Source organism: Homo sapiens, chromosome 5, assembly GCF_000001405.40.
Source record: "Homo sapiens chromosome 5, GRCh38.p14 Primary Assembly".
NCBI classification, from domain to species: domain Eukaryota; kingdom Metazoa; phylum Chordata; class Mammalia; order Primates; family Hominidae; genus Homo; species Homo sapiens.
In genome coordinates, this window is record NC_000005.10 from 69,671,739 (window position 1) to 69,694,466 (window position 22,728).

The 22,728-nt window shown below is 34.5% G+C and overlaps 1 pseudogene across 1 annotated transcript in view; it reads right to left on the reverse strand.

Moving 5' to 3' along the window:
* The window catches only part of GUSBP3 (GUSB pseudogene 3), a 71,065-nt pseudogene that overhangs the window by 32,276 nt on the left and 16,061 nt on the right, over positions 1–22,728 (reverse strand). The window contains exons 2-3 of the transcript NR_027386.2: positions 9,028–9,061; positions 7,407–7,562 (exon numbers count right to left, since the gene is read on the reverse strand). The product of NR_027386.2 is annotated as a GUSB pseudogene 3 (transcript). The remainder of the gene's footprint in view (positions 1–7,406; positions 7,563–9,027; positions 9,062–22,728) is intronic.

Below are 22,728 nucleotides of genomic sequence, written 5' to 3' on the forward strand. Positions count from 1 at the left end.
GATATACAACTATGTAAACCATTAAATATGATCTGGATTAAAATAATCTTAACAGACAAATCCAAAAACACTGCATTTTATTATTTCTATTTCTAATGTTACCTCCAGGTTTAGACTCCCCTAAGTAATTGACTCTACCTATTATGTTTGTGTTTTGAAACATCACTCTATATTGTAACAAAAAGAAAAATGACACAATTAGTTTCCTATATGTACACAAAAATTTTCAGTTTTAAATAAGGAAATATAGTTTTGAAATTTAAAAAAGTAAATGTTATAATATTTTCTCAAATAATTTACTACTCATATTCCCATTGCTTAGTTTCATTAATTTTTACACTCACATTTTACATATCCAAGATATATTTCCAGCTTTATTTTCAGAATGAACTGCTAGGATCTTAGATGAGTTTATTATTTTGCACGAGGTGCCACTGCTTGACACCTGATTGTGTGTATACCCCCCCTTTTTTTTTTTATATACTTTTAAGTTTTAGGGTACATGTGCACAATGTGCAGGTTAGTTACATATGTATACATGTGCCATGCTGGTGTGCTGCACCCACTAACTCGTCATCTAGCATTAGGTATATCTCCGAGTGCTATCCCTCCCCCCTCCCCCCACCCCATAACAGTCCCCAGAGTGTGATGTTCCCCTTCCTGTGTCCATGTGTTCTCATTGTTCAATTCCCACCTATGAGTGAGAACATCCGGTGTTTGGTTTTTTGTCCTTGCGATAGTACTGAGAATGACGATTTCCAATTTCATCCATGTCCCTACAAAGGACATGAACTCATCATTTTTTATGGCTGCATAGTATTGCATGGTGTATATGTGCCACATTTTCTTAATCCAGTCTATCACTGTTGGACATCTGGATTGGTTCCAAGTCTTTGCTGCCCAAGGTAATTTATAGATCCAATGCCATCCCCATCAAGCTACCAATGACTTTCTTCACAGAATTGGAAATAACTACTTTAAAGTTCGTATGGAACCAAAAAAGAGCCCGCGTTGCCAAGTCAATCCTAAGCCAAAAGAACAAAGCTGGAGGCATCACGCTACCTGACTTCAAACTATACTACAAGGCTACAGTAACAAAAACAGCACGGTACTGGTACCAAAACAGAGATATAGATCAATGGGACAGAACAGAGCCCTCAGAAATAACGCCGCATATCTACAACTATCTCATCTTTGACAAACCTGAGAAAAATAAGCAATGGGGAAAGGATTCCCTATTTAATAAATGGTGCTGGGAAAACTGGCTAGCCATATGGAGAAAGCTGAAACTGGATCCCTTCCTTACACCTTATACAAAAATTAATTCAAGATGGATTAAAGACTTAAACGTTAGACCTAAAACCATAAAAACCCTAGAAGAAAACCTAGGCATTACCATTCAGGACACAGGCGTGGGCAAGGACTTCATGTCTAAAACACCAAAAGCAATGGCAACAAAAGCCAAAATTGACAAATGGGATCTAATTAAACTAAAGAGCTTCTGCACAGCAAAAGAAACTACCATCACAGTGAACAGGCAACCTACAGAATGGGAGAAAATTTTCGCAACCTACTCATCTGACAAAGGGCTAATATCCAGAATCTACAATGAACTCAAACAAATTTACAAGAAAAAAACAAACAACCCCATCAAAAAGTGGGCGAAGGACATGAACAGACACTTCGCAAAAGAAGACATTTATGCAGCCAAAAAACACATGAAAAAATGCTCACCATCACTGGCCATCAGAGAAATGCAAATCAAAACCACGATGAGATACCATCTCACACCAGTTAGAATGGCAATCATTAAAAAGTCAGGAAACAACAGGTGCTGGAGAGGATGTGGAGAAATAGGAACACTTTTATACTGTTGGTGGGACTGTAAACTAGTTCAACCATTGTCGAAGTCAGTGTGGCGATTCCTCAGGGATCTAGAACTAGAAATACCATTTGACCCAGCCATCCCATTACTGGGTATATACCCAAAGGATTATAAATCATGCTGCTATAAAGACACATGCACACGTATGTTTATTGCGGCACTATTCACAATACCCCATTCTTTAGACTTTTAAAATCAATACCCACTCTTCCCCACGAACAAGAGAAAGTAAAAACAACTAACAGTGGATTTCTGTATCACGATGACTCATTTTCAATAGAACACTACCATAGGTCAAATGGATGAATGCATAAATAATGAATGGATTAATATCTTTTACATAATCATGTGCCACATAACAACGTTTACATCAATAAGAGACAGCATGTAAAACAATGGCTCATTAAGATTATAATAGGGTTGAAAAATTGCTATCACCATTATAGATTGATCACTCTATGAAGTTTGCACAGTAAGATAATCACCTAGCCACACACTTCTCAGAACATATCCTCATTGCTAAGTGACACAAGGCTATATTTCATTTAATGATTGCGTAAATAGTTGTTGAGAAAAATCTGCACTCTAAGTACCAGGATAAAAGAGATTAATAATAAATTAATGATTAAATGCACCATGATCAATCTTATCATTGAGGTCTATATGCTACATTTGGATTACATCGTAAAGGCAGAGGTTAATCATCGCAACTTACACAACAGGATACAGAGTGGATCAGCAGATAATTACATAATAGAATACAGTTTGAAACCTGCAAGATGCATTAGAATTAATTAGAATCAAACCATATGTGTGACTTTGGTTTAAATGTGCAAAACCTATTAATATAGATATAGCCAGGACATTTCTATTGTGTGTGTGTGTATATATATATATATATATATATATATATATATAGTGTGTATCTATATATATACACACACATATACATTTATATATACATACATACATATATATAATATATAATATATATATATATATATATATATATATATATATATATATATTTTTTTTTTTTTTTTTTTTTTTTTTTTGTGATGGAGTTTCGCTCTTGCTGCCCAGGCTGGAGTGCAATGGCATGGTTTCAGCTCACTGCAACCTCCGCTTCCAAGGTTCAAGCAATTCTCCTGCCTCAGCCTCCCAAGTGGCTGGAATTACAGGGGCCAACCACCACACCAGGCATATCTTTGTATTTTTAGTAGAAACTGCTTTCACCATGTTGGCCAGGCTGGTCTCGAACTCCTGACCTCAAGTGATCTACCCCCTCGGCCTCCCAAAGTGCTGGGATTACAGGTGTGAGTCACTGTACCCAGTTTGTCTTTATAAATCTTATAGAAATATTTAACTTTTAAAATCAACCACACACAATTAAGACTTTGATAAAAGTAATTAAGAAGTAAAGCAATGGAAAAAGCAATTTTTAAAAACATATATGAATGATTGAAAGCCAGGAGTAAAATTAAGAATTGTATTAAAATATCACTATTAAAATTAGCTACATAAATATTTAATTAATGCAGCTAAATTGTTAACAAAATTTACAGAAGAAAAGTATGTTAACATTACTGAATCATCTTAAAATCTTATTAAAATTTAAAGTTCTTCTCAACTGAAATTATATCACAGAAAAAAATAATGTCACCTTAAAAAGTTTAGGATTAGAAATACATAATTATTTTTAAATATAGTCTTTATATATTAATTATATTTCATTAATGTCTTATTTCTTGAATAAACTTTTTTCATGATACTATTTAAGTGCCACATTCTACAATAATATGGAAAACAATTCTACAAAATGTGGCATACAGTAATTGATAGGTAGTATAGCACACCTTTTATCTTTATAGCAAAAACATAATGTGTAAATTAATATAACACTAAGTCCCATATTGTCATTTTTTGTCAAAGAGCTATCTCCTTGAAAACCATCATCCTCAGATGCATCTCTAACTTCAAAAAGACCTTAGAAACTGTAACAATTGTAAATGCGTTATAACTTAAAGAGATATTATCTTCACATTAGAGGCTAACAGGCTTATACCTACTGATAGCTGACAAGTATTATAGGAATCCTGGCAGGCAAATTGTTGCATAAAAATTATGTAATTTACTAACTGTAAAATAACCTTTAGAGTTTAGAATCAGTCAGATAAGTAGAACAGACAATTGTTATCAAAGCCATATAAATGGCTATTAAAATTATTTTTTGCTACCCTCATTTTATCTCTGAAGAGACATCTTGTTAAAAAATGAATAACAGACACATATAAATACCTAATTACAAGCAGAGTTAAGATTAAAATTCAGCCTCATTAGGGGTGGGATAGAAATCAGTACACTAAAGAATATTTTGGTGCAGGTAGTTTGTTTCAAATGATTCAACCTTCAACATTACTTCACTTAAATTTTAGCAAACTTTCTGCTATAATTTAAGCATACAGACCTATGACACTAGACATATGTCCTGTGTAAGCCTGGGCTAGGGGAGCTCTATTTAATACTTACATAAACCCCAAAGATGTCCTAAGAAATAAAATTTGGAAAAACTTTGATGTGCTACAGCACGGATTTTCTCCTACAGCAACAGAGCAGACACTTGAATGTAGTTATACTCCTGCTTTCCACCTCCCTGTCAAAACAATAAAAAAGGCCACAGGCCTGTGGTTCTGGCCTCCAGGGAACTGGTGGCTTCTTTAACCCACACTGCTGCTGCTGAATCCCATTTAGGTTTAGGGTTTATTTTGTATATGCCTTTGTACAGGCTAAATGCTGGTCTAGTTGAAAATCAACCTAAAACAACCTTAATAGCATCTCATTTTATTGTGACTTTACTTTTTGTGTTGTTTGGTGTTTTACTTTTGGAGACAGAGTCTTAATCTGTCACCAAGGCTGGAGTGCAGTGGCATGATTATGGCTCAACCTCCAGGCTCAAGTGACCCTCCCACTTCAGCCACCTGAGTAGCTGATACCACAGGAACATGCCACCACATAAGGCTAACTTAAAGAACATTTTTTTAGATGGGATCTCACTATGTTGCCCAGGCTGATCTTGAGCTCTTTGCCCCAAGCAATCCTCCCACCTTGGCCTCCCAAAGTGCAGGGATTATAGGTGTGAGCCACTATGCCAGGCCTCTCTCATGACTTTAAACTTGAACATGCTTTTGTGCTGTGGCCGAGTTTAGGATCCCAACCAGCCTGTGATTACTGTGGTCACCACACAGATTCCCTCTTGTTCCATCTTTTATATTCCATCTTCTCACTCTCATAACTGTGTGGATAGGAAAACAATTATCCATACAGGTATGATATTGGCAGAGAAAATCACAAAATGTTTTAATGAGCAAACACTTTGGGGATGGTAATAATCTTTCTACCACCTTCATTGTCTTGTTTAAGTATCTCTACATTCTTCTTTAAAAATTAGGAATATATCTTTCTTGCTCTTTCGTTGTTGTTGAACACCAGAAGGGGATATTCCTTAATTCTCTCTCCATAGCTAAGGACAGTACAGCACAATATTCCATTCAGCAGGTGAAGTCAGTATGAATGAATGCATTTCAATCAGCAAATTGCTGGTTGTGTTGCAACTCCTAGTTATGATGTTTTGTGTACTTTGAAGGGCTCCCATTAATTAAGGTATTTCTTATAAGCATTCAGAAAGTTTCTTTTCTTGGCATGCGACTTGAAAATTTGTCCTGATATTTTCCCTGTGACAATGTTTTGTGAATTGTAACTCAGCCACTTAAGTGGCTCCTCATAATAAAGCCACATGGTATCCATGTACACATATTTAACAAATCAAAGAAGTGGTTCTCAACCTAATCTCTAGAGGAGGTCCTTCTTGTTCACTTTCAATAACTATGTTGAAGAATAGATTCTAAAAAGCTATCACCAAATTTTCGAATATGTTTTGAAATTTGTGTCCACAAAATCTATAAATCAATAAATGTATAGAATAGAGCATAATAATCCAATTAACAAATTTAAGATGTCATCTAAGCAGGAATGAATGCAATAAATAGGCCTTCTTACTTCAAAATCAACTGCAGAGGTAATGCATTGCCACTAGACTTGTGTGCTGTGTTGGTAATAAATTAACAAAAACTTTGGGGATAAGAAAAATCTGCAAATAAAATGGTGTGTCATTTGTGAAATATAATCACAAAAATGTTCAGATTGTTATAATTAACAGAAAAACTATTGTTTTTATTATATCCAGTGTTTAACAGACACTATTCATGTATACATACAACATTCTTATAATAACTCTTGTGTCCATGTAAATAGCAGTCTTGCCAAAAAGAATTGATTATCATGTAGTAGTTTGTAAGTATTTTCATGCATAGGCTGCAACCCTTTAGAGTGCTATTCTAATAAATTATTAATATTAACTTGATGAACACAATTCTAAGACATTTCATTTGAGGATATGTTTATTAACTATTAGGTTGGTACAAAAGGCATTGCGTTTTTTGCCATTACTTTCAATAAAAAATAGAACCAGCATTTAGAAATCTACTTTCAGAAACTTAATAAAATGAGAATTTGTCCTCTTTTACATATAGGAAGCCTGCATAATAAGCATTCTGTTGCTAGTACATAAGCTTCCCATTTTCATCAGGAAACTATACACTTACATTTCACTTTTACTAACTTCAATGCATGACTTCTACCTTCAAGGTGATTTCATGCTTCTAGCCACCATGTCTGTACTCCAGGACAGCAGCACAAAGTGTAGAAAAATAAAAAAGACATACCTCCCTAATGAGTCAACTGCACTTAAGGAGCCATCCCAGAAGTTTCACACGGCTTATTTGAATACAGCTATATCCAGATGCAAGGAATGCTGGGAAATGTGGTATTGTGCGCAGCTAAAGTTGGGATTATGTTAGTGAAAATGAGACCACGAACATTGGAAGGTTAAAAGCAATCTCTCATGACATATACAATTACAGAAATTAAATTAAATCTTTAAGCAATGTGATAAACCTATGGAATGTTAACAGGCAAAAATAGCAACATTAAAAATTACAGTGAGGGAATAAGGTATGATTCGTTTGTAGATGGTTTGTGTGTCATTAATCTAGGCAAAAAGTCATAAACTCCTCTAACAGTGACCACATGTATAAAAGAAATAATAATACACACTATGGCTAACAACATTCCATTTTGGCCTATTTACTGTTGTTAAGTCTCTATGGTTAGCATCAGAAATGTACAGTTTTGATAGCCTATGACCTCAACATGTTCAGTTTGATAGTAGAAAGGACAACATAAAGACAAACCAATCAACAAATAAGAATAAAAACTGTTAAAAAAAGGACAATATTATCATAAGAACATAAGGATGTGATAATGTATTTGACATATCGTTTATTTATTGTTTTATAGTTGGATAATACATATAAATTTACTGCTCCTTCAATGTTAGAATCAATAGAATCATAGCAGAAGTAATTAAGCAGATAAAGATCAAAACGTCACCTTTATTACTTACTGTTTGAAAAATAGTCTAAGGCTGGTTTTACAGGGTTGCTCCTATCCATCACCTGATGTGAAGTTTCTTAGGAAGCTTCAGGACTACACCAAAGAAGCAGAACCTGCTCTTTCACTCTGTTGCATTGTGTGGAGTGCAGGCCATCATGACTGCTCTCTACAAGAAAAAGAAAGGAAATAATTAAGAAACGCACAAAAGTTTGTGAATTGAGAATCCCAAAATAGGTATGAAATTGGTTAGCTTTCTAAATTCACCAATCTCATAACTAACACCTGTCCCCATGCAGTGAATGAGTAAAGGATGGACAGACTCCATAATGATTATTCTAGGGAAAGCCTTCTGAGTAGAAAGAGGAGAGTTTTGCAAACAGTTTTGTAGAGTTTACTCTTGTTTATGCACTGATAATAAATAAGAGTTCCTAAAATTCTCTCTAGAACTCTAGGTAAATGAGATATTTCACCGCTCATGCTGTGTGACCTTCATGTCCCATCTGCCTAGACTGTAAATATGCTTTCTGAAGTTTAAAAGAATTAGTATACTATGCTTACATTAAGCAAAAAAGTACCCTTATTATGCAGGATCAAGTAACACTCTAAAGATTCATGTTTATGAAAAAACACTGATGATTCTATTTTATTATGTGTCTTCTAAAGAGAAAAATACTTGTGCTCTGCAGCATAATTTTACAATGTGCTATTCTAAATACTTTCATTTAAACAAGACCATTATGAAAATGTTTTGCACACAGAAATATATTTTGAATACTTTTTTAAAAAGATCACAAAGTATATGGTCTCTGTACGTGTTCAATTATTTTAATGCTTTCACTATAACAGGAATTCTTAAAGAGGATATGTACTTGCATAATGCTGATAATTCTTTCTCATTTCTGTTTGTGCTTTGGCTGTTGTTACAACCACTGAAAGTAGTAATTACATGAGTGTATTATCCATGATTATCTTTAGATATATGTGCATTTTCTTTAATTAAACTATAAACTCTAAATGAAAAATAAAAAAGAAGTCACCTCTTGTCTCTTTGTACAATATTAAAATTTTTTTCTTGTATCCAGAGTTTCCCAAATGCCTGTTGCAAAATTTTACTTAGGGAGTAGAAAGTGGAGAATCAATATGGTAAAAAAAACTGTGTTACAGGGAAGGAGACACAGGGTAAGCATTTTCCTTATCTTCTCTCCTGTATCTACGTGCTGCACAAGCATAAATGATAGCAGTCACATGAACGAGTACTTTTCAAGAACGTAGAATATGGTGATGGAAAAAAAAAACCGCTTTGAAACATCGAATAATATAAAAGCCAGAACTACTACAACTATTTTTTACATCCATAGAAGGTAAACTATTTTTAGATATAAAATTCCTTCTGACGGTAGTCCTGATCATTTAACCAATATTTTGATAAATCAAAGAAGGGAAAAATGGACATTCAGTCCAAAGATGGGCATGTATTCCCATGCCCAGTCAGGCAAAATTGTGGATGTTCTTTAAAATAACAATTCATTCAACAAATAATTTTTAAATGGCTACTGAATACCTGGAAAGGTTCTAGACACAGGGGCTATAGTAAGAAACAAGAAGGAACTAATTGACAAGAATGTGCTCACCGACAATGAAACATCTCCTCATGGAGCTTGAGTTCTGTTTGAAAAGACAGAGAACAAAAAAATATTATTGCACAGAGTGTTAGTTATGTGTGAATTAAAAGACTGGTCAGTACTTGAAGGAGAAGGAGTGACAACAAATCTCACTTCCAGTTCTATTTACCTGAACAGATTAATTCTATTTTGTTTCAATGCAACAGTAGTCCTACGGTTAACAAGATGCACTACACAAAGCAAACAACTTATAAAACGCATTTTTTCCTTATATTGCAAATCAATTTTAAGTGGATCTACAAATATACAATAAATAATATAAATTACGGATCGTTTGTTTCTAAGGTAATAAGTACATTTGTTAATTTCACATAAATAATTTCAGAAGGAGAGCAAATGTAAAAATGTGTTTTAGACAGTGGAGATGCCATTTTATTGTAAGACTATTTATACTCAAAGGACAAAGTAATCAGCTTTCTATGTCAATGATCGTCCTTCTCTATTTCACCCAGTTCCAGACAAACCCAAGTCTTCCAAGTCTCTTCATATATCTGATCCAATAAAATCTATAATGAGTTCAGTTAGCATACACACACACACACACACACACCACACACACACAAGCACACAAACACACACACATGACTGCATTGAAATACTTGCTCTAGGGAAGGAACATAGTGTATATGCAACTTGTGTACTTTCTAAGTATGGGAAGACTAATCCTTTAACAACTGCATTTACTTTCTTTCACTTCTATCGTTGCTATCTACTCCTCAGAAATCTACTTAAACAACCAATAAATATATATGATGTTGTTATGAGAGTTTTGGAAATAATTCCTAAAAATTTGCATGGTTGCCTCTTTATATTTGGCAGCTTCTATCACCCATGGGAACAACCCCTACAGAATGATCAGAATATAAAGCATGTGAGCCCTGGGTTTCTCAGGCACTGGAAGGACCTGTCAGAATCCTCTCAGGTGGGTCAAAATGGCCAGGCTTTATAACCTCATCTCCATTCGTGTTTGCATGTCCAGTGCTCCAGGATGCCCTAACATTGAGCCAGACAATGGTTACAGCTGAGGCAAACTTTGAAGGAGCTGAGAGCTGAAGGCTGCTTTGTAATATTGCTCCTAGCAGCCAAGGGGGAAAGAAATCTTTTCTTGAAGAGCGATCTGTGTCCATAGCAAAATGTTTTTTTCTTAGCTCTTGTAAAATCGAAATTGTTTGCTTTTGAATTTTTTTAAATGATTCCTTTAAGATTCTTAATACCAAGATATCACAAGGTCAAGGAATTTTATAAAGAAGTATTTCTATTTATGTAATTTCCTAAATTTATCTATACACAAATCAGCACTAAAACATGCCTTTGATACTAACAACTTGATCGGTTTGTGAACCAAATCTGTCATGCAAATACATACGGCTGTTTTTAGATAAATTCTAAAGGTATTACCAAATCATTTAATTTTATTGTGTATCTCAATATTCTGGTTGATGTATAAGTTTAAATAGAACAAACTATTTGACATTGAAATGTTCTTTATCAAAGGAGAAGGAATACAATTTTAAAGCCACAACGAGTGACACATAGTTCTGAATGATTTATTGGCTGTCTGCCATTCTGAAATGGCTGCCAGTCAATGTTACATGTGACATCTTTCAGATAGTGTGAACTCTTTTATGCAAGCACCTTTCACTATAAAATTACAGCTGGAGATCATGAAGAGAAAAGTGTGGTGTTTATCTTAATGGGCTGAAAGACCTATTTCAACAGTTACAGTAATTCAGAAAAATAGTCTGAAGTCTAGTATTTCAATAATGTTATTTTCATAGATTTTAATCTCTAAAGACAATGCTTCACTTTTGTAGAAAATGACTTTTCTAATCATCCTGGATTTCAAAATTCTTTCCATTACTTAATATTTAAATCACTGGCAGAACTTGGCATGAGGACTAGAGAGCTGTCACCAAGCAGCCAGTCATTTTTCTTGGCTTCCCATATGCCATGCCCAGCAATAGAGCATTTCTTAGTAGCTGAGGAATAGCAGCAGTGCTAAACACAGAGATGACATTAACAGGAATGAGAGGGTCCAAGCTGTTTTCCTAGACTAATTCTCATTCAGCCTGAATTCAAAGCATTTTCCTATCATTATCATAGATATTTCGCTTGTGGTATTATCTATCTTTTGGCAATGTTGATTTTTTTCTGATTATCCAAATAAGTAATGTTAATGGAAAAAATCAGATATTAGGGGAAAAAAAACTCTAGAAATAAATGTTAACCCAAGACAATAACAATTCAATTAATTTATATGATACCTTAGGGATTGTGTCAATTATTTTTTAAATGAAATTCAAAAAATTCAACACCTGTGTTTTCTCCTACGATTACAAATTCAACTAGGGCACAATTGTAAATGGTTGTATTTGGTTGAATTTTTAGATTGTTTATAAGTTTTACTCTTGCAGACAATAATAATGGAGTTTCTTTGAAAATAAATTTAGTTGTTCTATAACCAAGGCATAAATATTCAATTCAATAAAATTAGCAAAAATATTAAATGAAAAGTATATTATATATAAAATGCATAAATAAAATATCCTGCACTGATCATTTTATGTCTATGGTTACCCTACTGATTCTGTGCACATTTGCATATGGGTATATATGCAATTTTATACAATGAAGTATTAATAGTGTACATAAATTTAGTAATTATTTTACCCCTTAAAAGTATATGCAATGAGTGTCACTTATATATAAATTCTGTTAACGTGGAAGAAGAATGTTAGTCAAAAAAACTACGAATTTAACAATTTTCTGGTTAATTCAAAGGGCTTTCCAAAAATGTCTTTTAAAATTCAATTTCATTTATTTTCTCATAGCAGAATATGAGAATGAATCTTTTTTGCTGCAAATTGGCTAGCAATAAATTTTTATTTTTATTATTTTAATTCTGTGAATTTCGGGAATGGAGTCTCATTCAGTATAAATATTATAATACTAATGAGATTGACTCCCTCCTTCTTATTAACAGTGTGCATTTTTACCCTCCGTGATTCAGTGCATGGTGTAGTGCTATAATTAAAAATGAACATTTTTTTTAAATTTTATTATTATTATATTTCAAGTTTTAGGGTACATGTGCACAATGTGCAGGTTAGTTACATATGTATACATGTGCCATGCTGGTGTGCTGCACCCATTAACTCGTCATTTAGCATTAGATATATCTCCTAATGCTTTCCCTCCCCCCTTCCCCCACCCCACAACAGTCCCCAGCGTGTGGTGTTCCCCTTCCTGTGTCCATGTGTTCTCATTGTTCAATTCCCACCTATGAGTGAGAACATGCGGTCTTAGGGTTTTTGTCCTTGCGATAGTTTACTGAGAATGATGATTTCCAATTTCATCCATGTCCCTACAAAGGACATGAACTCATCATTTTTTATGGCTGCACAGTATTCCATGGTGCATATGTGCCACATTTTCTTAATCCAGTCTATCATTGTTGGACATTTGGGTCGGTTCCAAGTCTTTGCTATTGTGAATAGTGCCGCAATAAACATACGTGTGCATGTGTCTTTATAGCAGCATGATTTATAGTCCTTTGGGTATATACCCAGTAATGGGATGGCTGGGTCAAATGGTATTTCTAGTTCTAGATCCCTGAGGAATCGCCACACTGACTTCCACAATGGTTGAACTAGTTTACAGTCCCACCAACAGTGGAAAAGTGTTCCTATTTCTCCACATCTTCTGCAGCACCTGTTGTTTCCTGACGTTTTAATGATTGCCATTCTAACTGGTGTGAGATGGTATCTCACTGTGGTTTTGATTTGTCCTCTCTCACCACTCCTATTCAACATAGTGTTGGAAGTTCTGGCCAGGGCAATTAGGCAGGAGAAGGAAAGAAAGGGTATTCAATTAGGAAAAGAGGAAGTCAAATTGTCCCTGTTTGCAGATGACACGATTGTATATCTAGAAAACCCCATTGTCTCAGCCCAAAATCTCCTTAAGCTGATGAGCAACTTCAGCAAAGTCTCAGGTTACAAAATCAATGTACAAAAATCACACGCATTTGTATACACCAATAACAGACAGTCAGAGAGCCAAATCATGAGTGAACTCCCATTCACAATTGCTTCAAAGAGAATAAAATACCTAGGAATCCAACTTACAAGGGATGGGAAGGACCTCTTCAAGAAGAACTACAAACCACTGCTCAATGAAATAAAAGAGGATACAAAGAAATAGAAGAACATTCCATGCTCATGGGTAGGAAGAATCAATATCGTGAAAATGGCCATACTGCCCAAGGTAATTTATAGATTCAATGCCATCCCCATCAAGCTACCAATGACTTTCTTCACAGAATTGGAAATAACTACTTTAAAGTTCGTATGGAACCAAAAAAGAGCCCGCGTTGCCAAGTCAATCCTAAGCCAAAAGAACAAAGCTGGAGGCATCACGCTACCTGACTTCAAACTATACTACAAGGCTACAGTAACAAAAACAGCACGGTACTGGTACCAAAACAGAGATATAGATCAATGGAACAGAACAGAGCCCTCAGAAATAACGCCGCATATCTACAACTATCTCATCTTTGACAAACCTGAGAAAAATAAGCAATGGGGAAAGGATTCCCTATTTAATAAATGGTGCTGGGAAAACTGGCTAGCCATATGGAGAAAGCTGAAACTGGATCCCTTCCTTACACCTTATACAAAAATTAATTCAAGATGGATTAAAGACTTAAACGTTAGACCTAAAACCATAAAAACCCTAGAAGAAAACCTACGCATTACCATTCAGGACACAGGCGTGGGCAAGGACTTCATGTCTAAAACACCAAAAGCAATGGCAACAAAAGCCAAAATTGACAAATGGGATCTAATTAAACTAAAGAGCTTCTGCACAGCAAAAGAAACTACCATCACAGTGAACAGGCAGCCTACAGAATGGGAGAAAATTTTCACAATCTACTCATCTGACAAAGGGCTAATATCCAGAATCTACAATGAACTCAAACAAATTTACAAGAAAAAAACAAACAACCCCATCAAAAAGTGGGCGAAGGACATGAACAGACACTTCTCAAAAGAAGATATTTATGCAGCCAAAAAACACATGAAGAAATGCTCACCATCACTGGCCATCAGAGAAAAATGAACATTTCAAAGATGTGCTTCCAAATGCCAAATCATCACTAAAAAGCTCTGTGGCATAGAGGAAATTTCACAACCTTTTAGCGCCTCAATTTTGTGGAAGAATGGTTAGGAGGCTATTGCAATAACAAAAGAAAATTTGAATAGCTGTATCCAACATGAAAAGATTGCTAGTAGAATTAAATGAGTTACTATAGGTAAAACAATCAGGGAAGTAATTAAAGAGAATCTGCACTAACATTGTTTTATTAATTTAAAATATCTGTACACAATCCTTTGACTCATTTGGAATTAGTTTTAGTGTATTTTAGAAAATAAGGTTTATTTTTTATTTTCTCCCAAAACAATTCTTCAAGACAACTTTTCGAACAGTAAATTCCTTCTTTGTTTATAATATGTATTTTAATAAAGTCACTTATCTTCATGATTTCTAGGACATCGGTTCTATCTAATCTATTGTTCAGCATTCGTCTGAGTATTTTCTGAGCAGCAATTAACCCCTCTGTACCTCTGAGTGCCCACATTTCCTTGATCCATTTCACCTTGCTGATCAATCCTTCTTTACTCATAGTCTAAATTTTTTTTTTAGAACTTCTGAGAGTGCCTCAAACCTTGGTCTTGGGTCTTCCTTCAATCTTATTTGTCTTTCCACCTGATCTTAATTATTTACATCACATTATACCCTATCTTTATGGTGACAAATCTCAAAATTATCTCTCTGACCTAAACTTATCATTAAAGATTTGGTTGCAACTTATTAAGAAGTCAGGTTCAATGTAATACATGCATTGTTGATTTAATATGCTCATCAAAATACTTAAAATTTTATTTGAATGCAAAAAAATAAAGCTTTTAATTTTATCTCCTATTTAATAATTTTGACAAAAACATTATACCAATCATTACTAATTATTGCTGGCTTTTAAAATATTATCTGATTAAATATTTTTGACTTGGAAAAATGGTAACAAATGCTTCTCTCTTTCTTGTCCCCTTGAACCATACTTGATATATTGCTTTTTCCAAATCCGGGCCACAAGTTCAGAATATAGCCTGTTAAAATATCTTCTATGTATAAACTATCTTTAAATTTTCTTGAGAGAATACTGAGTAACCAAAAGCATTGCTCCTTCACCCTACAAAAGAGAGAAAAATTAAAAAATCACATTAATTTGTAATTTTAAATGGTAATTAAAGCTATTGTGAGGGCTCTTTTATCGGCCAAACTTGTGAACAAAAAACAGCTCAAATTTATGTGTAAATAAAATATATTGAGATGAAGCCTTTCATTCAATGTGTGATTTTCAGTTCAAAAAAACACACTGATGTTCAAGAACAAAGACTGGTACAATAACTATCTACAAAATGCTTTTGTTACTAGATTTTAATTCCTTCATCAAACAGACACAGTCAAAGTTGATAGTGTCACTAGATCTAGAGGTCTATCAATATCCTTCCCACCATTTAATATGTTCTTAATCTCAGGGAAATTCTAAATCATATTCTTCTAAATTGTACAGTTGACTCCTGAAAAACACAAGGTTTAGGGCCATCAAACCTCCCTAACCCCTCCCCACCACCCCAGCACAGTCAAAAATTCACATATAACTTTGGACTCCCCAAAACTAAACTAACAGCCTACTGTTGACTGGACAATCCTTAACACATATTTCATACGCTGTATGTATTTTACAACGTAGTTTTACAATGAAGCTAGTTACAGAAAAGAAAGTGTTATTAAGAAAATTATAGGGAAGAAAAAATACGTTTACAGTACTACAGTATATTTATTTCTCTCATAAGTTTACAATCCTGTGTTTACAAGATGGATCCTTCTTCTGAAATGGCAGCACACACAGCTGCAGGCCTCAATCTAGGGTACCTATCAAGCAATTCATTGTTTTCCTGTAATGTCAGGACCCTTCTCTGTTTCCTGGAAGAACTTTCAGCATCACTAGCAGCACTTTTTATAGGTCTGAAGGTGTTATTCAAGGTTTATGGTATTGCACTAGACATCATGAATAATACAGGAGAAACATGAGAGAACACTTTTTACTGTGTTAATTTACTGGAGAGACAAGCTACTCACAAGAAGATGATTAGCATTATGTGGCATTTTAAGTGAATACTCACAACACTTGAGTTCACTGCAAGAACAACAGGTGGAGGCTAGGAAATTATCCCAGTAGTACAGTATGTACTACAGTTAATTTTGTGCAGTTATGATTTACTTTTGTATATTTTTGTTTTACTTTTCTCTAAACTTCAATTGGCTGCATGTATGCTCTGTGTTTGCCTACGTCTTGATAAATTTTAACTTTTTATAATAGACGCATATATATCTCATTGTATTAAATGATCACTAGTATCTACATATGATTTATGCATTCATGACATCGTTTTCTTAGTTTTTTAATATTTCTTGTGTAGATGGGTCACCTGTTATCTTTTTCAATTTTTCATAAATCTCCAAAAATTTTCTAATATATTTATAGGAAAAAATCTACATATGAGCAGACCTGCACAGTTCAAACCTGTGTTGTTGAGGAGTCAACTATATATTATAATTTAAGAGAGGATTCAACTCTTTCATTCTACTGGCAATGGGTTAACATAAACTTTAGTCAGAACTGCTGAGCTTTTCTGGCACAATGAGGACAAATTGACCAATGTATTTAACCAATAGCTGGGGGAAAATTTTGCTAAAATTGGTAAGTATATCTTTATATAACTATATCCTTACAACTTGTCTCAACCTTCGTCAGATTAATCCTAACAAAACTGTAAAATGTCTCAGTAAAAATCTAAATGAATTTTTCATAACAAGTGCTGGCAATAGATTTTAAATATGTTCTGATCATTATTTGTCTCTTGTTGGCATGGAGAAAATCCTTTTTTTTTTTTTCAGCCTGGGGAATCCCAAACTATATCTCTAGTAACAAGGAAACCATTTTACCGGAATTTTTATTAACATGGAAAAGTTCTGTCAATTAATCAGACTTCACTGTCCATATCACTTTCAACCTTTTGGGAAGGTAGAAAGATGGAATTCTGAAACTAAAGTTGGTAAAGTTCACAGACATCGTCAAACTTGCATGGTCTAAGGTATTTCTTCTTTCTGTGGTTCATGAGTTAGTAACAGCTAAACCAAGTGTCTAGGAATATTAGCTCTGATTCTAGAAATCTACACTTATTTAACTAAATGCTGTAAGGACTCAGGAAATCCATTCTTTCAACAAAAGTTACTGAAGACTTTCCCCATTAGTATCCTAAACAATGTCTGCAAAATTGGTTTTCATACCTGGATACCTTGTCTTCTAAGAGACACGGCAGGGAAAGATCATAGGAAAAAAGTCACTATCAGGCACAGCTAACAACTAGCAAACCCATAGTCTTTAAAAGACTGATCCTTTGATTCCTATCTCTCAAGTAAAGAGGTTTAGGTCATCTTCATATTACAGGAAAGTATCCCTACCAAAAACTTCTAACTAATGACTCTTAGGATTCTTCCAAAAGCAAATAGTCTTTGGGAGAAGACAGCTTCCATCAAATGCCTTTGGATCAAGTGAATCACTATATGAGATATCGGTATCTGCAAACCAAGATCCACAAAAAAAGATCCATTGTTTGTCATATTTAATCTGTATATCTTGAGTTTTCATTTTCCTAGTTAACTTTATCTTTTTATGCTTAAGGTTACATTTAATTATTTTACCTATAAAGCTACTATTCCTAATTCCTCTATGCCGTCCTTAGTCACTCTCTAGAAGAGTCCGGAAGCTGGCCGTAATTTGTTCACAATTTGGCTAAACATGCAGTTGAATCAGTGCTAAGCTGCACACATTTTCCTTAGGATGCCAATTAGAGTTTTTTTTTTTTAACATCGATTCCTAAATATGAAACATCTGGGTTTATCAATAATTGGACTCACTATTTATTGTTATTTTATCTGACAAACAGCAGAGTATTAGATAAATAGAAATCTTAAATCCTAACATGCTGCACCCAGGAAAGAAAGCTTATGCCTACAGCAGAACAGCACTTAGGGATCTTTAATAGAATGCAACTTCTGTCACTAAACCTTTAGAAAGAAATGTCTTAAAAAGAAGAGAACAAATGGCACATACTTAATTCATTTCTCACATTTACATATCATAAAAAATTCTTATTACATATTCAAGCTCCTATCACATCTACCTCTTCCTCTATGTGATAAGGTCTTCATTTTATATCCCCAAAAGTGATTAATAGCAGAATGGAGCTGAAAGCAATCAATAAACTCAATCAACCTTAATGACTGCTACTGGATTTGTGGTACCAGAACCTATTGATTATTACAGCAATCTTGACATAAACTAACATACTGATGTGGTAGTCAGAATAATGGCTCTTCAGAGATGATGCGGTCCTAATCCAGATAATTTATAAATTTGTTAGCTTACCTGGCAGGACAGACTTTGCAAATGCAATTAGAGTTAAGGATTTTGAAATGGAGAGACTATCATAGATTTTTAGATGGCCAAATGCAATCATAAGATTCTTTACACGTAGAAGAGGGAGATATAAAAGGAGAATGTGAAGACTTGCTCCTTCATTTGTAGCTTTGAAGGTCAAGGAAAGGAACTGTTATGAACTGAATATTTGTGTCTCCCTAAAATTAATCTATTGAAGATGATTGGCATTGTTCAAATATTAATAGATTATTTTCAATGATCTATTAATTGGCAGTGTGATAGTATCTGGAGATGGAGCTTTTGGGAGGAACCTAGGTTGAGATAATGTCCTAAGTGTGGTGTTCTCATGATAATGTTAGTGTTCTTATAAGAAAAGGTGGAGATACTAGACCACCTCCCACCCAACCACCCTTCTCTTTCTCTCTCCGTAAACATGTATCCAGGAAAGGCCATGTGAACACAGAGAGAAGGAGGCCATCTACTAACCAGAGAGGGAGTGGGCCCTCACCACGAACCAAATATACCAGCACCTTAATCTTGGACTTCCCAACTTTCAGAACTCTGAGAAATAAATGTCAGTTGTTTAAGTCACCCGGTCTATGGTATTTTCTTACAGTATTCCAAGCTGCCCAAGACAGGGAACATGCATCAAAGAATGCAGCTGGATTCTAAAGCCTGGGAAAGGCCAGGTCATGGATTATTCCACAGAGCCTATAGAAGGAATGCAGTCTTCCAATGCTTTGATTTTAAATCAGTAAGACCTGTGTTGAACTTCTAACCTGGAATACTGCTAGACAATAAATTTATGTTGTTTTAAACTACTAAGTGTATTGTGATTTTTATAACAGCCACAGGAAAATAATACATTTGGCAAATCAGTGCATGTTTCATGATGGTCAATGATATGCCCCAGGGTCCATCTTAGCCATGATTTCTATCCCTTCAAAAACCAAAACAAAATAAAAAAGTAAAACAAAAAGACCAATTTTACTATACTACTTGATTTTTAACAATATTTTATATGTATTTAATCCAGTATATCCAAAATATTGTCATCTCAGCATAAAACAATATTAAAATTATTCAGTTTTACATTTTTTAAACTAAATCTAGTTTGTATTTTACATATAGCATAAATCAATTCAAATCCACCATATTTCAAGTGTTCAATATCTACATGTCACTAGTAATGACTATAGTGGACAGAATTGATCCAGATTTCCAGGTGTATTGCTATAAAACTAACCATATTTTTATCTTATTAAAACAAAACAAAACTCCTCCATAACTATGTCTATGTTCCTTTTGCTTTTATTAACATTGAACATATTCTTGTTTTTAATCTAATTTTGTCTGTATTTAGGTCTATTTTTTGGTGGTGTTATTTCTTGTATGCTTGGCATCAACTTTTTTTTCAATTTCTTAGACTATCTAAACTATTATGCTCTGAGTTTAGCTCAATTTCAATCAGCTACTCACTTTGAAAGACTCATTTAACTCTCTTAAGCCATTCTCCACAAACATGAAAAATCTTCCTCTCACTCTTCCCTGCTGAAACACTGCAAAAGTATGTCAAAATGGTGTACTTTCTTGGCACAGGGTTTCAATAAACTTAGTTTTGCTTTAATAACAAATTATCTGAATATATTTCAGGGAGTTCCACTGGTAAAAGCATAAAATCATGTTAGTTCAGGTCATCTTTTGTAAAGTTATGACAGTGCCATAGTATCAATTCTTGTCAAAATTTATGACTTCAAAATCAACTTAATATGCATCAACATAGATATTTTTTAGTTAATTCTAGACTCCAGGTGCTCATTTAAATAATATGGGTACATAAGACTGAACAAAACCAGTTGCTATTGAATGTACATTTTAGAGAAATACTTCATACACAGCTGTGTTTTGTTAAATAAGGAACTTGATGACATAATCAATATCACGGCAGCATACAACTGTTTGGTTAGTATGTCTCTTTAAACAAGCACATATGCTCATTCATGGAGTGTGTATTTGTATCTGTGTATGGTCTGTGTGGTGAAGCAGCAAGCAACAGTTGGATGTCTTAATTATCTAACAGGAAAAAACACCTAAATAATCAGAAGAAATTTTGATTTATTTATTAGTTCGACTGAGCTTTTCTCTTGAATGTAACACAGATGGTCCCAGATTTACAATGGTACAACTTTACAGCTTTATCATGGTACAAAAGTGATAAACATTCAGTAGAAACAATGCTTTTATTACCCATATACCCATTCCGTTTTTCACATTCAGTATTTAATAATTTACATGTGATATTCAACACTTTATTTAAAAATAGGCTTTAGGTTAGATTTTTTTTTTGGACTGGCTAATGTAAGTGTTCTGAGCACATTTCTTAAGTGTATTTTTTTTTAATACTTTAAGTTCTAGGGCACATGTGCACAACTTGCAGGTTTGTTACATATGTATACATGTGCCATGTTGGTTTGCTGCACCCATTAACTCATTAACTACATTAGGTATTTCTCCTAATGCTATCCCTACCCATCCCCCCACCCCACAATAGGCCCCAGCATGTGATGTTACCCACTCTGTGTCCAAGTGTTCTCGTTGTTCAATTCCCACCTATGAGTGAGAACACACGGTGTTTGGTTCTCCGTCCTTGCGAAGGTTTGCTCAGAATGATGGTTTCCAGCTTCATCCACGTCACTACAAAGGACATGAACTCATCATTTTTTATGCCAGCATAGTATTCCATGGTGTATGTATGCCACATTTTCTTAATCCAGTCTATCATTGATGGACATTTCGGTTGGTTCCAAGTCTTTGCTATTGTGAAGAGTGCCGCAATAAACATACATGTGCATGTGTCTTTATAGCAGCATGATTTATAATGCTTTGGGTATATACCCAGTAATGGGATCACTGGGTCACATGGTATTTCTAGTTCTAGATACTTGAGGAATTGCCACACTGACTTCCACAATGGTTGAACTAGTTTACACTCCCACAAACAGTGTAAAAGCATTCCTATTTCTCCACATCCTCTCCAGCACCTGTTGTTTCCCGACTTTTTAATGATCGCCATTCTAACTGGTGTGAGATGCTATCTCATTGTGGTTTTGATTTGCATTTCTCTGATGACCAGTAATGATGAGCATTTTTTCATGTGTCTGTTGGCTGCATAAATGTCTTCTTTTGAAAAGTGTCTGTTCATATCCTTTGTCCACTTTTTGATGGCTTTGTTTTTTTCTTGTAAATTGGTTTAAGTTCTTTGTAGATTCTGGATATTAGCTATTTGTCAAATGGGTAGATTGGAAAAATTTTCTCCCATTCTGTAGGTTGCCTGTTCGCTCTGATGGTAGTTTCTTTTGCTGTGCAGAAGCTCTTTAGTTTAATTAGACCCCATTTGTCTATTTTGGCTTTTGTTGCCATTGCTTTTGGTGTTTTACACATGAAGTCCTTGCCCATGCCTATGTCCTGAATGGTATTGCCTAGGTTTTCTTCTAGGGTTTTTATGGTTTTAGGTCTAACATTTAAGTCTTTAATCCATCTTGAATTAATTTTTCTATAAGGTGAAGGAAGGGATCCAGTTTCAGCTTTCTACATATGGCTAGCCAGTACCATTTATTAAATAGGGAATCCTTTTCCCATTTCTTGTTTTTGTCAGGTTTGTCAAACATCAGATGGTTGTAAATGTTTAGCGTTATTTCTGAGGCCTCTGTTCCATTCCATTGGTCTATATCTCTGTTTTGGTACCAGTAAAATGCTGTTTTTGTTACTGTAGCCTTGTAGTATAGTTTGAAGTCAGGTAGCGTGATGCCTCCAGCTTTGTTCTTTTTGCTTAGGATTGTCTTGGCAATATGGGCTCTTTTTTTGATTCCATATGAACTTTAGTTTTTTCCAATTCTGTGAAGAAAGTCATTGGTAGCTTGATGGGGATGGCATTGAATCTATAAATTACCTTGGGCAGTATGGCCATTTTCACGATATTGATTCTTCCTACCCATGAGCATGGAATGTTCTTCCATTTGTTTGTGTCCTCTTGTATTTCGTTGAGCAGTGGTTTGTAGTTTTCCTTAAAGAGGTCCTTCACA